Here is a 22,763-nt window from a genome sequence, read left to right on the forward strand (position 1 = left end):
CGGTGTTTGATATGCTCAAAGCACAGCACAGCTGTGTGTGGAGTCCTAATCTGGCGTGGACTGCAAAGGGGACCCAGGGTCATTTCTGTGGAAACTACAAGGTTAAGATCGATGTGGAATGTAATCGTTAGCTGAAGCTCTGCACCTGGGATGGAAATCAAGGCTGCTTCTCTGTGTCAAAGGGATGTAGATCCTTCAGCCAAGAATGAGATGTTTCATGCTTATTGAAATGTGAGAAAGAGAAAAAAAAATTGGCCTGACACTCACAGCTAGGTCTTGGTGTTCCTGTTGAGCATAAACAATTTCATAAAACACCAACATCAGACTGATTGTGACGGATCAAGACAAAACTAGAACACTCCATAATCATGTTGAACACAAAACATGTACATTGTCCAAGCCACAACCAAACATCTCATTTCCCAGCAAATAAGAGTACCACTTCTTTACCAATCTCTTTAGCCTGATACAAGTTCTTTTTTTTTTTTTTTTGGCCTGATACCAGTTGTTTATCACATACTGGCTTTGCAAAGATGCCTCCCTGTAAATAAGATATATCAGGGTACCTAATCATAGAATTACCCCAATCTTCTGACAGCCTCCATCTCCAAGCAAAGCTGTACTTCCTTAAACCCTCCCCTAAATCACTTAACAAGCCCAAATCCTATAATTATTTTCTAACACTCTCTTAATGAGACACCCCATGGTTCCCCCATGGTGTACATTCTCCCTCATAGCAATGAGTAATAAACTTAGTGTTTTCAGTAATAAGTATATTCCTGGTGGTCATTGCCTGGAGGGAATAGACATGATGTCAAGCAGCAAAGTTTTAATTTTAGAGAACAAAGTTTCTTGCTAAGAAAGCAGTAGTCGCCACCGAGTGAGGTGGCTCATGTTACATGGGAGGCTGAGGCAAGATAATTACTTGAAGCCAGGAGGTGGAGGCTGCAATGAGCCGAGATCACACCACTACACTCCAGACTGTGCGACAGAGCAAGACTCTGTCTTAAAAAAAAAAAAGAAAAGAAAAGGAAGAAAAGAAAAAGAAAAAAAGCGGTAGTCTCTCAAAGAAAGGGGTTATTTATGAGACTACAGCTGCAGCATGTTTAATCCCAGCTACGTGGGAGACCTTGAACCTGGGAGATGGAGGTTGCAGTGAGCTGAGATCGCGCCATTGCACTCCAGCCTGCACATCTATTATCTGTGATGAGAAAATAGCAGGACAGGTTTTCACAGTCTGAACTAATTTTACGTTTCTTACTTTCCTTATTTGAACTTTAGTACCAGAAGGCAAGAGGACAGGGATTTTTGCCTGTCTTCTTTGCTGTTATTTCCTCAGTGCCTAAAAGACTGCCAGGCATTGGGCCGGGCACGGTGGCTCATGCCTGTAATCCTGGCACTTTGGGAAGCTGAGGTGGGCAGATCACTTGAGGTCAGGAGTTTGAGACCAGCCTGGCCAACATGGTGAAACCCTGGCTCTACTAAAAATACAAGAATTAGCTGGGCTTAGTGGCACATGTCTGTAATCCCAGCTACTCGGGAGGCTGAGGCAGGAGAATCATTTGAACCCGGGAGGCAGAGGTTGCAGTGAGCCGAGATCTCGCCATTGCACTCCAGCCTGGGTGATTATTTTCCAAAGTGGTTGTACCATTTTACATTCCCACCAGCAATGTATAAGGGCTCCAGTTCCTTGGCAATAGGTGGTATGGTCAATCTTTTTAATTTTAGCCACCCTGATATTACACTGCTTTTTCTTTTCTTTTCTTTTTCTTTCTTCTTTTTTTTTTTAAGACAGAGTCTTGCCCTATCGCCCAGGCTGGAGTATAGTCTGTGATCTCAGCTCACTGCAACCTCCACCTCCCAGGTTCCAGCAATTCTCCTACCCCAGCCTCCTGAGTAGCTGGGATTACAGACGTCCACCACACATCCAACTAATTTCTGTGTTTTTATTTTTTTGTTTTTTGTTTTTGTTTTTTGGAGACAGAGTCTCACTCTGTGGCCCAGACTGGAGTGCAGTGGCACGATCTCGGCTCACTGCAACCTCCACTGCCTCCTGGGTTCAACCAATTCTCATGCCTCAGCCTCCCGAGTAGCTGGGACTACAGGCACATCCTATGCCCGGCTAATTTTTTGTATTTTAGTAGAGATGGGGTTTCACCGGGTTGCCCAGGCTGGTCTTGAACTCCTGAGCTCAGGCAATCCGCCTGCCTCGGTCTCCCAAAGTGCTGGGATTACAGGCATGAGCCGTTGTGCCTGGCCAATTTTTGTATTTTTAGTAGAGAGAGGATTTCACCATGTTGGCCAGGCTGGTCTCGAATGCCTGATCTCAAGTGATCCACTCACCTCGGCCTCCCAAAGTGCGGGGATTACAGGCGTGAGCCACCGTGCCTGACCACATTGCACTTTTAGTTTGCATTTCTGTAGTAATGAATGATGTTGAGCATTTTTCATTTTTTCATGTGCTTATTTGCCATCCATATGCCTTTGGTGAAGTGTGTCTATTCAAATATTTTGTCCTTTTTTTTTTTTTTTTTAGACGGAGTCTCACTCTGTCGCCAGGCTGGAGTGCAGTGGTGCAATCTTGGCTCACTGCAACCTCCGCCTGCTGGGTTCAAGTGATTCTCCTGCCTCAGCCTCCCGAGTAGCTGGGACTACAGGCGTGTGCCACCATGCCCAGCTAATTTTTGTATTTTTAATAGAGATGGGGTTTCACCATGTTGGCCAGGATGGTCTCGATCTCCTCACCTTGTGATCCACCTGGCTTGGCCTCCCAAAGTGCTGAGATTACAGGCATGAGCCATTGCGCCCGGCCAAAATACAATTGATTTCTGTATGTTGATCTTATCCTGCAACTTTGCTAAACTTGCTTATTCATTCTAGTAGCTTTTTGAAGATTTCCCTTGGATTTTCTGTATAGATGATTATGTCATCCATGAATAGACAGTTTTCTTCTTCCTTTCTAATCTAGATGCCTTTGATTTCCTTTTCTTGCTTGAGTGCAGTGGCTAGAAATGGTGAGAGCAGACATCTTTTATTTCTGATCTTAGGGCAAAGCTTTCAGTCTTTCACCATTAAATATATGTTAGCTGTGGGTTTTTCATGGATGCCCTTTATCAGGTTGAAAATGTTCCCTTTTTTGATACTCCTTTTTCTGGCCTTGGTAGTTTCCTTGTATGCTGAATGCTTGGTGACCCTCTGCAAGTCTCCAGGTTCTCTCTCTGTGCAACACTGTCATCTCTGGTGCTCTGTCCTATGAACTCCAGCTGCCTTGGTTTCCCCAGACTCTTAGCTCTGTCTTTTCTTTTCTTTTCTTTTTTTTTTTTTTTTTTTTTTGAGACAGAGTCTCGTCCTGTCACCCAGGCTGGAGTGCAGTGGCGCAATTTTGGCTCACTGCAAGCTCCGCTTCCTGGGTTCATGCCATTGTCCTGCCTCAGCCTCCCGAGTAGCTGGGACTACAGGTGCCCCCCACTATGCCCGGCTAATTTTTTGCATTTTTAGTAGAGACGGCGTTTCAACGCGTTAACCAGGATGGTCTCGATCTCCTGACCTCGTGATCCGCCCGCCTCGGCCTCCCAAAGTGCTGAGATTACAGGTGTGAGCCACCGCGTCTGGCCTTAGCTCTGTCTTTTCAACTCAAGGAGTATTCCAGGGCCAGGCGTGGTAGCTCACACCTGTAATCCCAGCACTCTGGGAGGCCGAGGCGGGTGGATCACAAGGTCAGGAGATCAAGACCCTTCTGGCTAACACGGTGAAACCCTGTCTCTACTAAAAATACAAAAAAATTAGCTGGGCATAGTGGCGGGCGCCTGTAGTCCCAGCTACTCGGGAGGCTGAGGCAGGAGAATGGCGTGAACCCGGGAGGTGGAGCTTGCAGTGAGCCGAGATCGCGCCACTGCACTCTAGCCTGGGCAACAGAGCGAGACTCCGCCTCAAAAAAAAAAAAAAAAAAGACGAAAAATACAGCATGCGGGCATGGTGGTGCACACCTGTAGTCCCAGCTACTTGGGAGGCTGAGGTGGGAGGATTACATGAGCCTGGGAGGCTGAGGCTACAGTGAGCTGTGATTGCACCACTGCACTCCAGCCTGGGCAACAAAGCGAGACTCAGTCTCAAAAAAAAAAAAAAAAAAAAAAAAAAAAAGGAGTATTCTAGGCTCCACCTTAGTTTCTCCTTACTGTCTGGAAATTCTTTCAAGGTAGTGTGAACGTAGACGATCCTAGGTTCATCACATTATTTTCCCATCTCTCATGGATTATGTCCTTTGCTGGGAATGGAAGTCTGTGGATTATCTTTTTGTCGTTGTTCTATTTTGCTTTGATTATCTTTTGAGATCCAAAGTTAAGAACATATTCCTTTACTGTTTGAGCTTATTGAGTTTTTAAAAAAAGGTCTTTCTTACCCCAAATATCATAAAGATATTCTCTTATATTTTCTTGAAAAGTTATAAAGTATTTCTTTTCACATTTAAGTCTTTAATCTACCTGCAATTGATTTTTGTGTTTGGTGTGAAGGAATACAGATCAATTTTAGAATAGCATGTTGCATTTAACTTTGCTGGTAAGTTGATTGGTATTATGTTTTATCTTTTTTTTTCCTTTTTTTTCTTCCATTTCTTTCTTCTTATTACTTTTTGGTTCTAGTCTAATCCATATATATTGAATCTTAGATATAGTTGAGGATAATCAATATATTTTTAATATACAATATTGATTCTTCCTATATTTATTCATTCTTGTTTTGATAGTGATGAATTAGTTCTACTTATTTTCCCATTAGAAAGATGCCCTCATTGGCCAGGCGCGGTGGCTCACGCCTGTAATCCCAGCAGGTTGGGAGGCCAAGGCGGGTGACTCACTTGAGGCCAGGAGTTCAAGACCAGCCTGGGCAACATGGTGAAACCTTGTATCTACTAAAAATACAAAAATCAGCCAGGCAGGCTGGGCGCGGTGGCTCACGCCTGTAATCCCAGCACTTTGGGAGGCCGAGGCGGGCAGATCACGAGGTCAGGAGATCGAGACCATCCTGGCTAACACGGTGAAACCCCATCTTTACTAAAAATACAAAAAATTAGCCGGGCACGGTGGTTGGCGCCTGTAGTCCCAGCTACTCCGGAGGCTGAGGCAGGAGAATGGCGTGAACCCAGGAGGTGGAGCTTGCAGTGAGCCGAGATCGCACCACTGCACTCCTGCCTGGGCAAAAGAGCGAGACTCCGTCTCAAAAAAAAAAAAAAAATCAGCCAGGCATGGTGGTGCATGCCTGTAGTCTCAGCTACTCAGGTGGCTGAGGTGGGAGGATGGCTTGAGCCCAGGAGACAGGGGCTTGCAGTGAGCCAAGATTGTACCATTATGCTCCAGCCTGGGCAACAGAGCAAGACTGCCTAAAAACAAAACAAAACAAAAAACGATGCCCTCATGAACATACTAAACCATGTCTCTTGGTGAACATATGCAAGAGTTTCTCTAGTATCTGGAGTGGAATTGTTGGGTTATAGGCAGCGTTGAATTTATCATAAAGCTAATAAAGCTAATCTACTGTTCATAATGTTGTATTCTTTTTGTCAAAGAGAACTCCCCTCCAATTGTATAAGCTTCAGGTCCTGGAATACTTGGATTTGCCCCCATTGTTGCTTATGCACATGTTGAACAGCATAGTGCAACTATGGAAAATTCAAACAGCTTCTCTGCAGGAAAGAATAGTGTTCAAAGGACTGGAGGAACAAAAGGGTGAAGGGGATTTTACATAGCAATTAGGAAGCTCCTACCTCCCCTGGCCTTGAGTGCTCTCCTCTGTATTGAAGTGGGCTGGAAGCTTGTAAACTAAATCTTCCAGACTGCTTTTCCAGCTGGTTTCTAATGCAGCTCTGTCAGGGAGACACTGGAAGGAGACTGGAAGGCAGGAAGAAGGAATTTTTCTGTTCATGATCACTCCCCTGGCAGGGTCAGCATCAGTAGTGGGTGACTGGGCTGCAGCAGGCAGCGACGGTCTCAGCAGAGGCAGCAGGGGTGAGCACAGGTGCCTGGGTTCCAGCAGCCACGAGGGCAGCCACACTTCCGATGGCTCTGCAGTTCCCATAGCTCCTTCTGTCCACAGTCCCCATCACGCCCTCAGTTCGCCATATATTCAGCTTCTTTTGGATCTACAGGCCTTCATCATCTGCATTTTCTTTCCATTAGCTCCATTTCCTTCCATCCCTAGCAGGAATCTATGAACTATCCTTGAACTCAGAGTTCTCTTGCAGGCACCCTCAACATCTTCATCTTGTTGGCCTCCTGGGAATGGCACCTGCTCTGCAGCTCCCCGTCCTGGATGCATCCTGTAGCCCCACTTCTCTTCCAGGTGCTGGTGACCCTCACTTCTAGAAAACAGCACGGGCCCTGCCAGCCCCAGTCCCCGCGCTGCTGCATGGACACTATGGCTCCCTGTGCCTCCCTGTCTCTCAGTTGATGACTTGCTGCCTCATCAATAGGTTGTTGTCTGACACCTCTATCATCTGTGACAAGAGGTTGTGTTTTTGTTTTGTTTTTTAATAATAGAGATAAGGGCCAGGTGTGGTGGCTCACACCTGTAATCCCAGCACTTGAGGAGGCTGAAGCAGGCGGATCACTTGAGGTCAGGAGTTCGAAACCAGCCTGGCCAACATGGTGAAACCCCGTCTCTACTAAAAATACAAAAATCAGCCAGGTGTGGTGGTGTGCGCCTGTAGTCCCAGCTACTCAAGAGGCTAAGACACGAGAATTGCTTGAACCTGGGGATTGAAGGTTGCAGTGAGCCAAAATCACGCCACTGCACTCCAGCCTGGGCAACAGAGCAAGACTTCATCTCAAAAAAAAAAAATAATAATAATAATAATAGTGATGGAGTTTTGCCATATTGCCCAGGCTGGTCTCGAACTCCTGGGCTCAAGCGATCCTCCCATCTCAGCCTCCCAAAGTGCTGAGATTACAGGTGTGAGCCACCACGCCCAGTCTAGAGAGTTTTCATACCACAAAGTTGAAGGTGAACCTGTAGAACCCATAAACTGTTGACAAAAGAAAAAAGCGGGAAGCAGCCTTGGGTTATCTCCAGCACACCCACCAGAGGGCAGCAGACACTGGCTAAAGCTCTTAGTCATAAGTCCTGAGTGCTGGAAACAGTTGCAATGGCCAGCACGTGGGCAGAGCTCACCGCAGACAGTCCTCAGAGGTCGGAATCTGCCGTGCATCTGGCAATCTCTCTGCTGCCCCTGCCCCAGCCTGCCCTTAGCTCATCTCTCTGGAGCCCAGTGGTAGTCTTCATGGGCTCTCCTGCTTCAGGCTGTCCTGACTTAAGGAATGTCCCCACTGCCCTCATCCCTTCACAGCTCCTCTGCAGATCAGAGTGCAAGCCAGAGTCCTACAGTGGCCTCACAGCCCTGGCTGCTTGGAATCCTTACCCGTTCCCCACTCACTGTGGCACCACCAGGCTCCGCGCTGTTATTCCAGGCCTCAGAGACGGGCACACTCAGGGGCCATGTGCTTCTGTTCCCTTTGTTTATGAGCTATTCCCCCAGGTGTCTGCAGAGCACGCTTCCTTGAACTCCTTCAGGCCTTCCCTGAGCACACCCTTGTAAGTACACACAGACGGCACCACCACATCCCTTTCAGCAGGACCCAGGGGAAGAGCAGTCACCAGACACCCTCCAGCTCTCTGTTCCTGCAGGGCCCAGCACGGCTGCATACAGCCTCACCTGAGGTCACACCCTTCCTAAGGCAGCCTTCATCTGGTGACTGAGCAAAGCAGGGGCTATAAAGAACTGGCCATTTCCATCTCATGTGAGACTCTGTCCGACTGTCTAACTTCTCCAAGACTTTGTTGGGTGCCCATCACTGTTCAAGTTCTCCTGCCCCATCCTGCTTCCGCCTCCTTCCTTCCACAGGTGTTGGCCTCATATTCCATCTCAGTAAATGCCTCTGAAGAGCCCACACCTGTAATTCTAGCACTTTGGGAGGTCGAGGCAGGAGGATCACTTGAGGCAAGGAGTTTGAGACCAGCCTGGGCAACATAGTGAGACACTATCTCTACAAAAAATTAAATTAGCTGAGCATGGTGGTGCACACCTGTGGTCCCAGATACTCAGGAGGCTGAGATTGGTGGATCACTTGAGACTAGGAAGTTGAGGCTGCCATGAGCCATGACTGCACCACTGCACTCCAGCTTGGGCAGCAGGACAAGAACCTGTCTCAAAATGAATAAATAAAAAGAAAGTTGTTCCAGTCACCTGTCTGGCATGTGTACAGCTCTGGGAGACACTCTGCTGGCTTTTCCCAGACGCCAGCCAGCTCCTCCACTTTGACAACTCTTGCCTGCCCAGGCCTCTCCTACTTCTGCCTCACTCCCAGCTGGGGTTTCCTTCCTCATAAAGGACCTCCACTCAGCTCAGCCTTTGGGGAAGCAAGGCTAAATACACTCTTTTGTCATCTTTTGTGACCCTCTTGCAAGCACATCTTTCTCCAGCTATACCATAGGTCCTTGTCTCATTCCTCACATTTTTTGGCACCTACTGTATCAGAGGTATTCTTCTAGATGCTAGGGATACATGACCTCAGGTTATCTGCCTGCCTCAGCCTCCCAAAGTGCTGGGATTACAGGAGTGAGCCACGGCACCTGGCCGCCAGTGCATGTTTTAGACCAGCCACTGAAGCCACAGCACTGGCTGCCTCAGAAGGGGTGGGGCAGGAGGCTGGGAGGGGCTAAACCAGGACTTGCAGTGGGGACGGGGAGAGGAGAAATGTTAAAAAAACTATCCAGGGCCAGGTGTGGTGGCTCATGCCTGTAATCCCAGCACTTCTGGAGGCCAAGGTGAGAGGATCACTTTAGCCCAGGAGTTCAAGGTTGAAGTGAGCTATGATCATGCCACTCCACTCCAGCCTGGGCAACAGAGAAAAACCCTGTCTCAAAAATAGAAACACAGGCTGGGCACAGTGGCTCACACCTGTAATCCCAGCACTTTGGGAGGCCAAGGTGGGCGGATCACCTGAGGTCAGTAATTTGAGACCAGCCTGGCCAACATGGTGAAACCCTGTCTCTACTAAAAATACAAAAATTAGCCAGGCATGGAGGCTGTAGTCCCAGCTGCTTGGGAGGCTGAGGCATGAGAATTGCTTGAACCTGGGAGGTGGAGGTTGCAGTGAGCCAAGATCACGCCACTGTACTCCAGCCTGGGCGACAGAGTGAGACTCAGTCTCAAAAAAATTAAATAATAATAATAATAATAAAGCCTCTGGAAATGGTCCTAAGTGCATTCAGAAAATGAGTAAATATTTATTCAAGTAAATCTACTAAAACTTGGTAGGACTAATCAAAGCTATGATATTTAAACCAACATGCATTCCTTCTTTCTCCTTCCCAGTTCAGTGAGATGGAAAGTCCACTCCAGACTGGTTCAGCCAAGAACAAAGGATTCCCTCTCCAACTAGCTCCCAGTTGGAGAACTGTCTTCCCAAGAGGGATAGAATGCCGGCATTTTCCACCCGGCTCCCAGCTACCGGTTGCGGAGGCTAAGCCCTATATGAGTATGGCCAAGATGGTAGCTCTGTTAGTGCACCTAGGCCTCAGGCAGGGAATAGAGACACTACATTGTGTGTGGTGCCACTGAAAATACCGGGGCCCTGATTGTCTTAATTCTGGCTCATAAGGCAGAGGCAAGCCAAGAAGACTACTTCCCTACTCTCCACAGAGTGACAATCTCTTACAGCAGGTGTGTCACTCAGCAAGAGATGGGCCATTGTCCCTGACCCCAGCTCCAGAGCTGTGGCTCAGAGATTTTTGCCTGGGTAAAGGGGAAGGCCGGGAGCTTCAGATTTTTTCCCAAACAAATTGACTTTGTTTGCAAGAATGTGGAGAAGTTCAAGCCTAATGGTGCTCTCAGAAACAATGGAGGTTCTGATTTTAAAAACAAATGCCATTAAGAGGAATTGAGAAAATAAATCAGAGATAGAAGCAAAACCATAAGTTGGCTAGTTTACTAGACAGGACCAAGGAAAGATACAGTTAAGAGCCATTCTGGAGTCACAAGTCTCAATCATTGACCTAAAGAGATATCCCTTCAGGCCAGGCACGGTGGCTCACACCTGTAGTCCCAGCACTTTGGGATGCAGAGGCGGGAGAATCACTGGAAGCCAGGAGTTCAAGACCAGCCTGGCCAACATGGCGAAACTCCATCTCTACTAAAAATATAAAAATTAGCCAGGTGTGGTGGCACACGTCTGTAATCTCAGCTACTTGGGTGGCTGAGGCAGGAGAATCACTTGAACCCAGGAGGCAGAGGTTGCAGTGAGCTGAGATCACACTACTGCACTCCAGCCTGGGGGACAGAGCGGGACTGCCTCAAAAAAAAAAAAAAAAAAGAAAAAGAAAAAAGAAAGAAAAAGAAAAAAAAAGAGAGAGAGAGAGATTCCTTCAAAAAAGCCCAGATTCAATTGGATTCCTCTGTAGAGCAATTTGTACCCCAAGGAATTGTTGAAAACAGTAGAGCAATCAGACAGCAATTAGCGGAGTGTAACAGCTGTATGTGGTCAGGGAATGAGATCAAGTCCTGCCAGAATCACTGCCATCCCAGGGTGACTGTGGGCATACCCAAGGCTGTGCCCTCTGGGGAGCAACATAAGAGGCTGCACACTATGGGTGGTGATCGGGATTGGGGTGGGGGCCGATGAGTGTAGACTTCACTAAATAATCCACTAGTCACCAAACAAATAAACAAAAACCAATAACAAGCCATGGAACAGAGAAACCAGTGCCCGAAGTTTTACAATATATCACCTAAAATGTCCAGTTTCCAATAACAAATTACATAGAAGACATGCAAAGAAACAGGAAGGTCTGACCCAAACCCCAGGGGAAAAAACAGGCAATAGAAACTACCTGTGAGAAAGCTCAGATGTCAGATTTAATGGAAAGACTTTAAAGCAATCATTATGAATATTTTCAAATAACTAGAGAAAACCATGATTAAAGAAGTAAAGGGGCTGGGCACTGTAGCTCACACCTGTAATCCCAGCACTCTGGAAGGCTGAGGTGGGAGGATCGCTTGAGCCCAGGAGTTCGAGACCAGCTTGGGCAACATAGTGAGACCCCGTCTCTACAAATAATTTAATAATCTAGTTGGGTGTGGTGGCATGTGCCCCTGGTCCCAGCTAGTTGGGAGGCTGAGGTGGGAAGATCACTTAAGCCTGGGCAGTCAAGGCTGCAGTGAGCTGAGATTGAGCCACTGCACTCCAGCCTGGATGATGATAGAGCAAGATCCCACCTCAAAAAAAAAAAAGAAGTAAAGGAAGGTGTGATGAAAATGTCCCATCAAATAGAGAATATCAGTTAATAGACACTGGGCATGGCGGCTCACGCCTGTAATCCCAGCACTTTGGGAGGCCAAGGTGGGTGGATCACTTGAGGTCAGGAGTTAGAGACCAGCCTGGCCAACATGGTGAAACCCCGTCTCTACTAAAAATACAAAAATTAGCCGGGCGAGGTGGCGCATGCCTGTAATCCCAGCTATGTGGGAGGCTGTGGCAGGAGAATCGCTTGAACCCAAAAGGTGGAGGTTGCAGTGAGCCGGCACACCACTGCACTCCAGCCTGGGTGACAGAGAGACACTTCATCTCAAAAAAAAAAAAAGATAGATAGAAATTATTATTATTTAAAATTTTTTTAGAAACAGCCTCTGTTCCCCAGGCTGGAGTACAGTGGAGTGATCACAGCTCATTGCAGCCTCGACTTCCTGCGCTCAGGCGATCCTCTCACCTCAGCCACCACACCCAGCTATTTTTTTTTTTTTTAGACAGAGTCTTGCTCTGTTGCCCAGACTGGAGTGCAGTAGCATGATCTCAGCTCACTGCAACTTCCGCCTCCTGGGTTCAATCGATTCTCTTGCCTCGGCCTCCTGAATAGCTGGGATTACAGGCGCCCATCACCACGCCCAGCTAATTTTTGTATTTTTAGTAGAGACGGGGTTTCCCCATGTTGGCCAGGCTGGTCTCAAACTCCTGACCTCAGGTGATCCTCCTGCCTTGGCCTCCCAAAGTGCTGGGATTACAGGCATAAGCTACTGTGCCCAGCCTTTTTTGTAATTTTTTGTTTTTGTTTTGTTTTTTTTGAGACGGAGTCTCACTCTTGTCGCCCAGGGTGGAGTGCAGTGGCACCATCTTGGCTCACTGCAAACTCTGCCTCCCAGGTTCATGCCATTCTCCTGCCTCAGCCTCCTGAGTACCTGGGACTACAGGCGCCCACCACCATGCCCAGCTAATTTTTTGTATTTTTAGTAGAGACAGGGTTTCACCGTGTTAGCCAGGATGGTCTGGATCTCCTGACCTCGTGACCTGCCCACCTCAGCCTCCCAAAATGCTGGCATTATAGGCGTGAGCCACTGCGCCTGGCCCTTTTTTGTACATTTATAGAGACAGGGTCTCGATTTGTCCAGGCTGGTCTTTATCTCCTGAACTCAAGCAATCCTCCTGCCTTGGCCTCCCAAACTGCTGGGATTACAGGCTTGGGCCACTGTGCCCAGCTCAGAAATTATTTTTAAAAAAACAATCAAATGGGCCAGGCGCAGTGGCTCATGCCTGTAATCCCAGCACTTTGGGAGGCCGAGGTGGGTGGACAATTTGAGGTCAGGAGTTAAAGGCCAGCCTGGCCAACATGGCGAAACTTCGTCTCTACTAAAAATACAAAAATTAGCCAGGTGTGGTGGCACATGCCTGTAATCCCAGCTACCTGGGAGGCTGAGGCCCAAGAATCCACTTGAGCCTGGGAGGCAGAGGTTGTAGTGAGCTGAGATCATGCCACTGCATTCCAGCCTGGGCAACAGAGTGAGACTCTATCTCAAAAAAAAAAAAAAAAGAATCAAATGGAAATTTGGGAGTTGAAAAGTGTAATAATTGAAATGAAAATTTTATTAGATGATCTCAACAGTAGATTTAACTGGCAGAATAAAAAAAAAGAAAACTTGAATGTAGATCAACAGAGATTATGCCATCAAAAGAACAGAGAGAAAGAAGAATGAAGAAAAACAAACATAGCCTCAGAGGAATGTTGGACACTGTTAAATATACCAATTATATGCATAAGAATATCAGAAGGAGAAGGTAGAGAGAAAGGAACAGAACAAAATACTCAGAGAAATAATGGCTGAAAACGTCTGAAATTTGCTATAAAGTGTTAATACATCCAAGACACTCACTGAAATCCAAGTAGGGTAAACACAAAAAGATCAATGAACCAAAACATTATATTAAGAATTCTGAAAGGCAAAGACAAAGAAAAATCTTGAAAGCAGCAAGAGAAATAATATGACTCATCACTTGACAATGAATGCCAATGCCAATAAGCCTTACAGGTAGCTTCTTTTTTTTTTTTTTTAGACGGAGTTTCACTCTTGTTGCCCAGGCTGGAGTGCAATGGTGCAATCTCGGCTCACTGCAACCTCCACCTTCCGGGTCCCAGTTCAAGCAGTTCTCCTGCCTCAGCCTCCTGAGTAGCTGGGATTACAGGCACGCGCCACCATGCCCAGCTAATTTTTGTATTTTTAGTAGAGATGGGGTTTCACCATGTTGGGCAGGCTGGTCTCAAACTCCTGACTTCGTGATCTGCCCGCCTCGGCCTCCTAAAGTGCTGAGATTACAGGCGTGAGACACCGCACCGGGCTACAGGTGGCTTCTTATCAGCAACAATGGAGGCCAGAAGGTAGTAAGAATGCATGTTCAGGCCAGGCGAGGTGGCTCATGCCTGTAATCCTAGCACTTTGGGAGGCCGGGCAGATCACCTGAGGTCAGGAGTTGGAGACCAGCCTGGCAAACATAGTGAAACCCCGTCTCTACTAAAAGTACAAAAAAATTATCTGGGCGTGGCAGCAGACGCCTGAATCCCAGCCACTTGGGAGGCTGAGGCAGGAGAATTGCTTGAACCTGGGAGGTGGAGGTTGCAGTGAGCCGAGATCGCACCACTGCACTCAGCCTGGGCAACAGAATGAGACTCTATCTCAAAAAAAGAAAAAAAAAGAGCATGTTCAAAGAGCTCAAAAAAAATGTCAATTAAGAATATTAGGCCAGGCATGGTGGCTCACACCTGTAATCCCAGCACTTTGGGAATCTGAGGCAGGAGGATCACTTGAGACCAGGAGTTCAAGACCAGCTTGGACAACATAGCAAGAACCCCTGCCTCTACAAAATAATTAAAAATTAGCTGGGCATGGTGGTGAGCACCTATAGTCCCAGCTACTGTGTAGGTTGAGGCGGGAGAGTTGCTGGAGCCCAGGAGTTCAAGATAACCGTGAGCTTGATCATGGCACTGTACTCCAGCCTGGGCAACAGAGCAAGACCCTGCCTCAAAAAGAAAGAAAAGAAAAAAAAAGAATATTATATTCAGTAGAGCCACCTTTCAAAATGAAGGTGAAATAGGCTGGGTGTGGTGTCTCATGCCTGTAATCCCAGCTCTTTGGGAGGCCAACGTGGGCGGATCACGAGGTCAGGGGATCAAGACCATCCTGGCTAACACGGTGAACTGCGTCTCTACTAAAAATACAAAAAAATTAGCCGAGTGTGGTGGTGGGCACCTGTAGTCCCAGCTACTCGGGAGGCTGAGGCAGGAGAATGGCGTGAACCAGCGGGACGGAGCTTGCAGTGAGCCGAGATGGCGCCACTGCACTCCAGCCTGGGTGACAGAGCGAGACTCTGTATAAAAAAAAAAAAAAAAGAAGAAGAAGGCGAAATAAAGACATTCCCAGATAAACAAAAACAGAGAATTTGTTGCTAGGCTGCCTTACAAGAAATACTAAAGGAAAACTTTTTAGCCTGAAAACAAGCAACTCCAGATAGTAATTTGAATCCATATTTTTTGCCTGTGTTTTCATCTTTTTTTTTTTTTTTTTTTTGAGACAGGGTGTCACTCTGTCACCCAGGCTGGAGTGCAGTGGCACAATCTCAGCTCACAGCAACCTCCGCCTCCCAGGCTCAAGGTATCCTACCACATCAGCCTTCCAAGTAGGTGGGACTACAGGCATGAGCCACCATGCCTGGCCATTTTTTTTTTTTTTTGGCTGGCTATTTTTTTTTTTTTTGAGATGGAATTTCACTCTTGTTGCCCAGGCTGGAGTGTAATGGTGTGATCTCGGCTCACTGCAAGTTCTTCCTCCCAGGTTCAAGTGCTTCTCCTGCCTTAGCTTCCCAAGTACCTGGGATTACAGGCATGAGGCCACCACGTCTGGCTAATTTTGTATTTTTAGTAGAGATGGGATTTCTCCATGTTGGTCAGGCTGGTCTTGAACTCCTGACCTCAGGTGATCTGCCCGCCTCGGCTTCCCAAAGTGCTGGGATTACAGGCGTGAGCCACCGTGCCCAGCCACCTGGCCAATTTTTAAATTACTTGTAGCGATGAGGTCTCACTACGTTGCCCAGGTTGGTCTCAAATTCCTGGGCTCAAGCAATCCTCCAGCCTCAGCCTCCCAAAGTGCTGGGATTACAGGCGTGAGACACCACACCCGGCCTTGCCAGTGTTTTCATTGCCTTTATACAGAGACAAATTTTTGGAGGTCCTACCATTTTTGCTGATGTCATTATAAATTTTGTTGCCTTAGTTTTAGGTCTTCTAATTTTTGCGTTTTGTTTAGAGACAGAGTCTCACTATGTTGCTCGAGCTGGTCTCCAATGCCTGGCCTCAAGCACCCTCAGTGTCCCCAGTAGCTGGGATTACAGGCATGAACCACTATGCCCAGCTATTTTAAAATTTTGTTTTATTTATTTATTTTCTTACTGACAGGGTCTTGCTCTGTTACCCAGGCTGGAGTGCAGTGGCACAATTGCAGCTCACTGCAGCCTTCAGCACCTGGGCTCAAGCAGTTCTTCCACCTTGGCCTCCTGAGTAGCTGAGACTACAGGCTCATGCCACCATGCCTGGCTAATTTTTTATTTAGATGGGAGTCTTGCTCTGTTGCCCAGACTGGTCTCAAACTCCTGGGCTCAAGCGATCCTCCCACCTTTGGCTCCCAACGTGTTGACATTACAGGCATGAGCCACTGCGAGGGGTCTTCTGCCTGTTTTATTTTGAATTAGAAAGTGTGAGTCCTCCAAATTGGTTCTTTTCAAGATTGTTCTTTTCAATGCAACAATCTGGGTTCCTTGCATTTCAAATGAATTTTAGGATCATCTTGTCAATTTCTGCAAAGAAGGCAGCTGGGATTTTGTTGGAATTGCATTTAATCTTCAGATCAATTTATGGAGCATTACCATCTTAATAATATTATTTTTTATTTTTTTGAGACAGGGTCTCACTCCAATTGCCCAGGCTGGAATGCAGTGGCATGATTTCAGCTCACTGCAGCCTTGACCTCCCTGGGCTCAGGTGATCCTCCCACCTCAGCCTCCTGAGTCTCTGGGACTACAGGTGCACACCACCATGCCCGGCTAATTTTCATATTTTTAGTAGAGACAAGGTTTTGCCATATTGCCCAGGCTGGTTTCAAACTCCTGGACTCAAGCAATCCACCCACCTTGGCCTCTCAAAGTGCTAGGATTACAGGTGTGAGCCACCACACCTGGCCCTCGCTTAATCATATTAAGTCTTCCAATCTGTGAACACAGGATTTTTTTTTTTTTTTTTGAGACAGAGTCTCACTCTATCGCCCAGGCTGGAGTGCAGTGGCGCAGTCTCGGCTCACTGCAACCTCCCCCTCCTGGGTTCACGCCATTCTCCTGCCTCAGCCTCACGAGTAGCTGGGACTACAGGCGCCTGCCACCACGCCCGGCTAATTTTTTGTATTTTTTTTTAGTAGAAACGGGGTTTCACCGTGTTAGCCAGGATGGTCTCAATCTCCTGACCTCTGATCTGCCCACCTCGGTCTCCCAAAGTGCTGGGATTACAGGTGTGAGCCACCGGAACACAGGATATTTTTTCATTATTTTGGGCTTTAATTTCTTTCAACAATGTTTCTTTTTTCAGTGTAAAAGTCTTGCACTTGTTTTGTTAAATTTATTCGTAATTTTTTTTTTTTTGACACAGAGTTTCACTCTTGTTGCCTAAGCTGGAGTGCAGTGGCACAATCTCAGCTCACTGCAACCTCAGCCTCCCGGGTTCGAGCAATTCTCCTGCTTCAGCCTTCCAAGTAGCTGGGATTACAGACATGTACCACCACACCCGGCTAATTTTGTATTTTTAGTAAAGACGGGGTTTCTCCATGCTGGTCAGGCTGGTCTCGAATGCCCGACCTCAGGTGATCCGCCCACCTCGGCCTCCCAAAGTGCTGGGATTACAGGCATGAGCCACTGCACCCAGCCTTCATAAATATTTTTAAGTAACTAAAAATAAAAAAGAATATTTAATTCTTTTTGATGCTATTGTAAATGGAATTGTGTGTGTGTGTGTGTGTGTAACTTCTCTTTTTTTTTGAGACAGGGTCTCACTATGTCACCCAGGCTTGAGTGCAGTGACACAATCACAGCTCACTGCAGTCTCACCCTCTCAGGCTCAAGCCATCCTCCCACCTCAGCCTACTGAGTAGCTGGAACTACAGGCACGTGCCACCATGCCTACCTACTTTTTGTATTTTTTGTAGAGACAGGGTTTCACCATGTTACCCAGGCTGCTCTCAAACTCCTAGACTCAAGTTATCCTCCTGCCTCAGCCTCCCAAGTTGTTGGGATTACAGGCGTGAGCCACCACGCCCGGCCATTCTATGTGTTTTGACAAATGTATAATGACATGTTGATACCATTATAATGTCATACAGAATAGTATCACTGCTCTAAAGATCCACTGCACCACACCTATTCATTCCTCTCTCCTCCAAAAACTTTGTCAACCACTGATCTTTCCACTGTCTCCATAGTTTTTCCAGAGTGTTATACTATACAGTATGTAGCCTTTTCAGATTGGCTTCTTTTGCTTAGTGATATGCATTTACAATTCCTCCATGTCTTTCTTTCTTTCTTTCTTTTTTTTTTTTTGAGACAGAGTCTCGCTCTGTTGTCCAGGCTGGAGTGCAGTGGCTCGATCTTGGCCCACTGCAACCTCTGCCTCCCAGGTTCAAGTGATTCTCCTGCCTCAGCCTCCCAAGTAGCTGCAATTACAGGTGCCCGCCACCATGCCCAGCTAACTTGTATTTTTAGTAGAGACGGGGTTCCACCAATTTGGCCAGGCTGGTCTCGAACTCCTGACCTCAAGTGATACGCTCACCTTGGCCTTCCAAAGTGCTAGGATTATAGGTGTGAGCCACCATACCCGGCCACCTCCATATCTTTTGTGGCTTGATAATTTATTTACTTTTAGCATTGAATAATAATCCATTGTCTGGATGTACCACAATTTATTCATTCACCTACTGAAGGACATCTTAGTAGCTTTCCCAAGTTTTAGCAATATGAATAGAGCTGCTACAAACATGTGTATGCAAGTTTTTGTGTGAACAAAAGTTTCAACTCATTTGGGTAATACCAAGGAGCATGACTGCTGGATCATGTGGCGAGGGTGTGTTTAGCTTTGTCAGAAGCTGCCAAACTGTTTTCCAAATGACTGTACCATTCTACATCCCCACCAGCAATGAATTTGAGTTAATGAATTTTTTTTTTTCATTTTCAGATAGTTGCTAGTGTATAGAAATATAATTGATTTTGTATATTAATCTTGTATTCTGCAACTTAACTCATTTATTAGCTCTAATCGTTGTATGTGTGTGTATTCTTTAGGATGTTCTGTACTTTCTATACACAATATGCAAGTTCATGGCACATAGAAATAAAGATAGTTTTACTTCTTTTCCAATGTGTATGTTTTTAATTTTATTTTCTTGCCTAATTGTCTAGGCTGGACCTTCCAGTACAACGTAACATCCAGATGTACATTTCCAGCCCACACCCGGTTCCAGCTACCTCACTGATGTGGAGTTCTAACTGGGGAGGAGGAGCCAGGCTGGCTGGAGCAGGTAAAAGCAAAAAGAGAAAGCAGATAAGCTATGAGTCTGCCTTTCTTCATGGTCCAGGACACATAGCCCTCCTGTGTAAATAACTCACAATCTTCCTGCAGCCAGCTATCACCAGACCCTCGGCTGATAGAAAAATGCAAGTTAGCTCACTGCAACCTTGACGTTATCATGACTACACAAAGCCCTCTTCGACACACAGCACAAACACCACCCTATAAAATCCCCAGCAAGGCTTTGTCTCTTTGCAGTCAGCTCCTCTCTTGCTGACTTGCCCATTGCACCCTTGCAACATATTTTCATGCTTTTTCTAACAACTCTACCTTTCTTTACCTACAGCTGTCTTGGTAAATTCTTTTACCACCCAGGTGACACCAGCCCCAGATAGTTGTGACCTGTGACACTTCGGTGGCCCGTATGGGGAACTCTCTCTCCTTACAGGAAACTCTCTCCCCTCTGTCTTTCTCTTTCCCAACTTGGGACCCTTGGTGGAAAGCATCTAAGCACAGAAACAACTGTAGGTCTCTGGCTGGAGCTACACTCTGGTGGGACTGAAAGGTGTCCGTGTGAAAGTGTCTGACTGCCACCGGTCCAGATAGTCGCTGCTCACCCACAACAACTGACATAGCTACTTAGATGCCTAATAGGAGTCTCCAACCAACTCATGATCGTCTCACCAAACCTGCTTCTCCCACAGTGTTCTGCAGTTCTATCCTTCTAGTATTGAAACCAAGTCATCCTTCACTTCTCATTTTCTTTTTCTTTTTTTTTTTTTTGAGACAGGGTTTGACTCTTTCACCCAGGCTGGAGTGCAGTGGCACAATCTCAGCTCACTGCAACCTCTGCCTCTTCGGTTCAAGCAGTTCTCCTGCCTCACCCTCCCAAGTAGTTGGGATTACAGGCACCTGCCACCATGCCCGGCTAATTTTTGTATTTTTAGTAGAGACAGGGTTTCACCATATTGTCTAGGCTGGTCTCGAACTCCTGACCTCAAGTTATCTGCCCACCTCGGCCTCCAAAAGTGTTAGGATTATAGGCGTGAGCCACTGCACCCAGCCTACTTCTCACTTTCTTTCATCCCACATTGGGACCACCAGTAATATCTGTGGTCTCAACCTTCACAATATGTCCAGAATGTGACCACTTCCCACCAGCTCTATAACCAGCAGTCCACTCTGAGCTTCCAGCATCTCCTGCCTGGGTCAGTGCAGTAGGCTCCTAACCAGTCCTCTTAGTCTACTCTTGCCCTAGCTTCAGCTAAGTGATCCTTCTAAAATTAAATCAGGCTGGGCACAGTGGCTTATGCCTATAATCCAGACACTTTGGGAAGCTGAGGCAGGAGGATTGCTTGATCCCAGGAGTTTGAGATAAGCCTGGACAACATGGCAAGACCCTGTCTCTACAAAAAATAATAAAATTAGCCAGGCATGGTGTTGTGTGACTGTGGTCCCAGGTATTCGGGAGGTTGAGGCAAGACTACTTGAGTCTAGGAGGCCAAGATTGCAATGAGTCATGTTCACAACTCTGCACTCCAGCCTGGGTGACAAAGTGAGACCCTGTCTCAAAGAAATAAATAACAAAACTAAATCAGACCACAACATCCTTCTGCTAAGTACCCTTCAATGGCTTTTACCACATTCTGTGAGAAAAGCTGGGGTCCTTACAGTGACCTAAAGGCCAAGGTTTCACTTCATTTCATTTGATTTCCCCTCCCTCCCTCCCTCCCTCCCTCCCTCCCTCCCTTCTTTCCTTCCTTCCTTCCTTCCTTCCTTCCTTCCTTCCTTCCTTCCTTCCTTCCTTCCAAGGGTGGGAATAACTCAGCCCCTGGCTAGAGGGCAAGGCCCCACTCCTGGGCGGCCCCCATGCCTTGCATTCCATATTCCAGTCCCAGCTCAGGCGCTCCATCACTGAGTGGCATTGGGCAAGTCATGGCCTCTCTCTGGGCATCAGTTTCCCCATATGTAAGTTTCCACAGAGGCTGGTATAGGTGGCCAATGTTTCCTTCCATCCTGACTGTCCAGGATTCTGTGATTCCCTTCTAAGCCACTGTGTCCTCAGGAAATCCCTTGTGCCAGCCTGTGGGTAGCTCAGGCCTTTATGGCAGGGTGAGGGTGGCCCCCGGGTCCTGGAGCTCTGGCCTCAAGCAGATCTGGATGGGGCTGGATGCCAGCCACCCACCAGAAGTGAGACTGGGGCTCCCTGTGCCCCCCCAAAGCACAAGACTTGGAGGGCATGGGATTGGCGGTCCCTCGTCACCTTTTGTTCCTGTCTCTGGGGCTTTGCAGGCCAATGGAAACGCAGCCCTGAGAATAAAAGCCCCTTGTCCAGAGTTCTGAGCCCTAATCCTCTTACGTGTCACCAGCGGAAAGCCGGAGCCGGTGGCAGAAGGGCTGCTCTGATTCCCTGCCAGCCTGCCCCTCGTCCCACACTCTGGTGCCAACCCAGTCGCATCACAAAGGGCTGCTGCCCCAGCCAAGCAACCGCACCACTGAATGCAATCACCACTCGGGCCCCGGCGACGGGGTGCTCAGACCGAGAGCTCTGGACAGGGCTTGGATGGTTCAGGAAAGGCTGAGCATCCACCCTGTCCTGAGAGCCACTGTCCAAGTCAGAGCCCCAGCTTTGCCCGGTGTGGCTGGGCCCAAGGTTCTTCCTCCCTCCCTTGGGATCCCAGATTGTTGTTCTAGCCATAAGGTGGCCCCGGATTAGGTAGTCATGGGACCTCTTTTGGCTCCCTCTTCCCTTTAGGAGGCGTAGACAGACCCACAGCTCTCTGCTGAGACTGACGGGGCCTGGAAGAGGTGGGTGCAGTGGCCTCCCACACAGAACCTCCCTGTCTGAATAGTTGAGGGACAGACACCTCCATACAAGGCAAGAAGTGCCCCTGTTCCAGTGCGGCCTCTCAGAGGATACAGCAACCCGCCTGACCCCTGGGGAAGCTGGACAAGGCTCTGCTGGACTTGGAAGAGTGGGTAGGAGCAGGACAGATGACTGAGGTGGGGTTGGGAGAAGAGGAAGGAGGTGGGGCCTGCCAGGAGGACAGCGGTACAGCCGAGGACGGTGTTCTGAGGATGGGGGTGAGCAGCTGGCAGCGGCTACACAAGGACTGTAAAAAGTGAACCCTGTCCCAGAGGCCTGGGCATGCAAAATAGGGACACAGGTACCCCACAGAGACAGGACTTCAAGAAGACAGAGGACAACTGGCCACCAGTTTTACCTGAATATTTAGTTGGGAGAAGTTAAAAAGATACCATATAAGCACTATAAAGTCAGTGCTTTAAAAGGAAAACAAACAGCCGTGAAGTGAAATGCAAAATTCACCTGAATTTTAAAGACGAAACAAAGAACTGTGTATCCATGGAGACACTTCAGACTCTGCAGGCAGATCCCGGGCCCTGTCTCACTCCTGAGCCATATGTTTGAGTAAGGTGGCTATGTAATTGGGACTACATGCAGTTAGACCACCCAGTCAATCAGACAAGTGTCCCACCCGCCAAAGAGCACAGCGTGGAGCCGGGGAGAAGGTAGATCCATCCACAGACAAGTGTTTTTTGTTGTTGTTTTGTTGTTGTTGTTGTTGTTTGTTTGTTTGTTTTTTGAGACGGAGTCTTGCTCTGTCGCCCAGGCTGGAGTGCAGTGGCGCGATCTCGGCTCACTGCAAGCTCCGCCTCCCGGGTTCACGCTATTCTGCCTCAGCCTCCCAAGTAGCTGGGACTACAGGCGCCCGCCACCACGCCCACCTAATTTTTTGTATTTTTAGTAGAGACGGGGTTTCACCGTTTTAGTCAGGATGGTCTCGATCTCCTGACCTCGTGATCCGCCCGCCTCGGCCTCCCAAAGTGCT

At 47.6% G+C, this 22,763-nt stretch overlaps 1 long non-coding RNA gene across 1 annotated transcript, besides 1 other annotated feature; it reads left to right on the forward strand.

Moving 5' to 3' along the window:
• Positions 7,236-7,425: an enhancer, noted in NCBI's record as "active region_19818". NCBI's record gives its function as "activates an Ori minimal core promoter by ATAC-STARR-seq in GM12878 lymphoblastoid cells {active_cell/tissue: GM12878}" and the evidence as "EXISTENCE:reporter gene assay evidence [ECO:0000049][PMID:35858748]".
• LOC105377074 (uncharacterized) lies at positions 17,795-22,471 on the forward strand. Its single transcript, XR_940822.1, has 3 exons — positions 17,795-17,855; positions 18,804-18,922; positions 21,668-22,471. It is a non-coding gene; the product is annotated as an uncharacterized LOC105377074 (long non-coding RNA).
• Positions 22,472-22,763: the final 292 nt, after the last annotated feature.

Source organism: Homo sapiens, chromosome 3 (assembly GCF_000001405.40).
Source record: "Homo sapiens chromosome 3, GRCh38.p14 Primary Assembly".
Taxonomy (NCBI): Eukaryota; Metazoa; Chordata; class Mammalia; order Primates; family Hominidae; genus Homo; species Homo sapiens.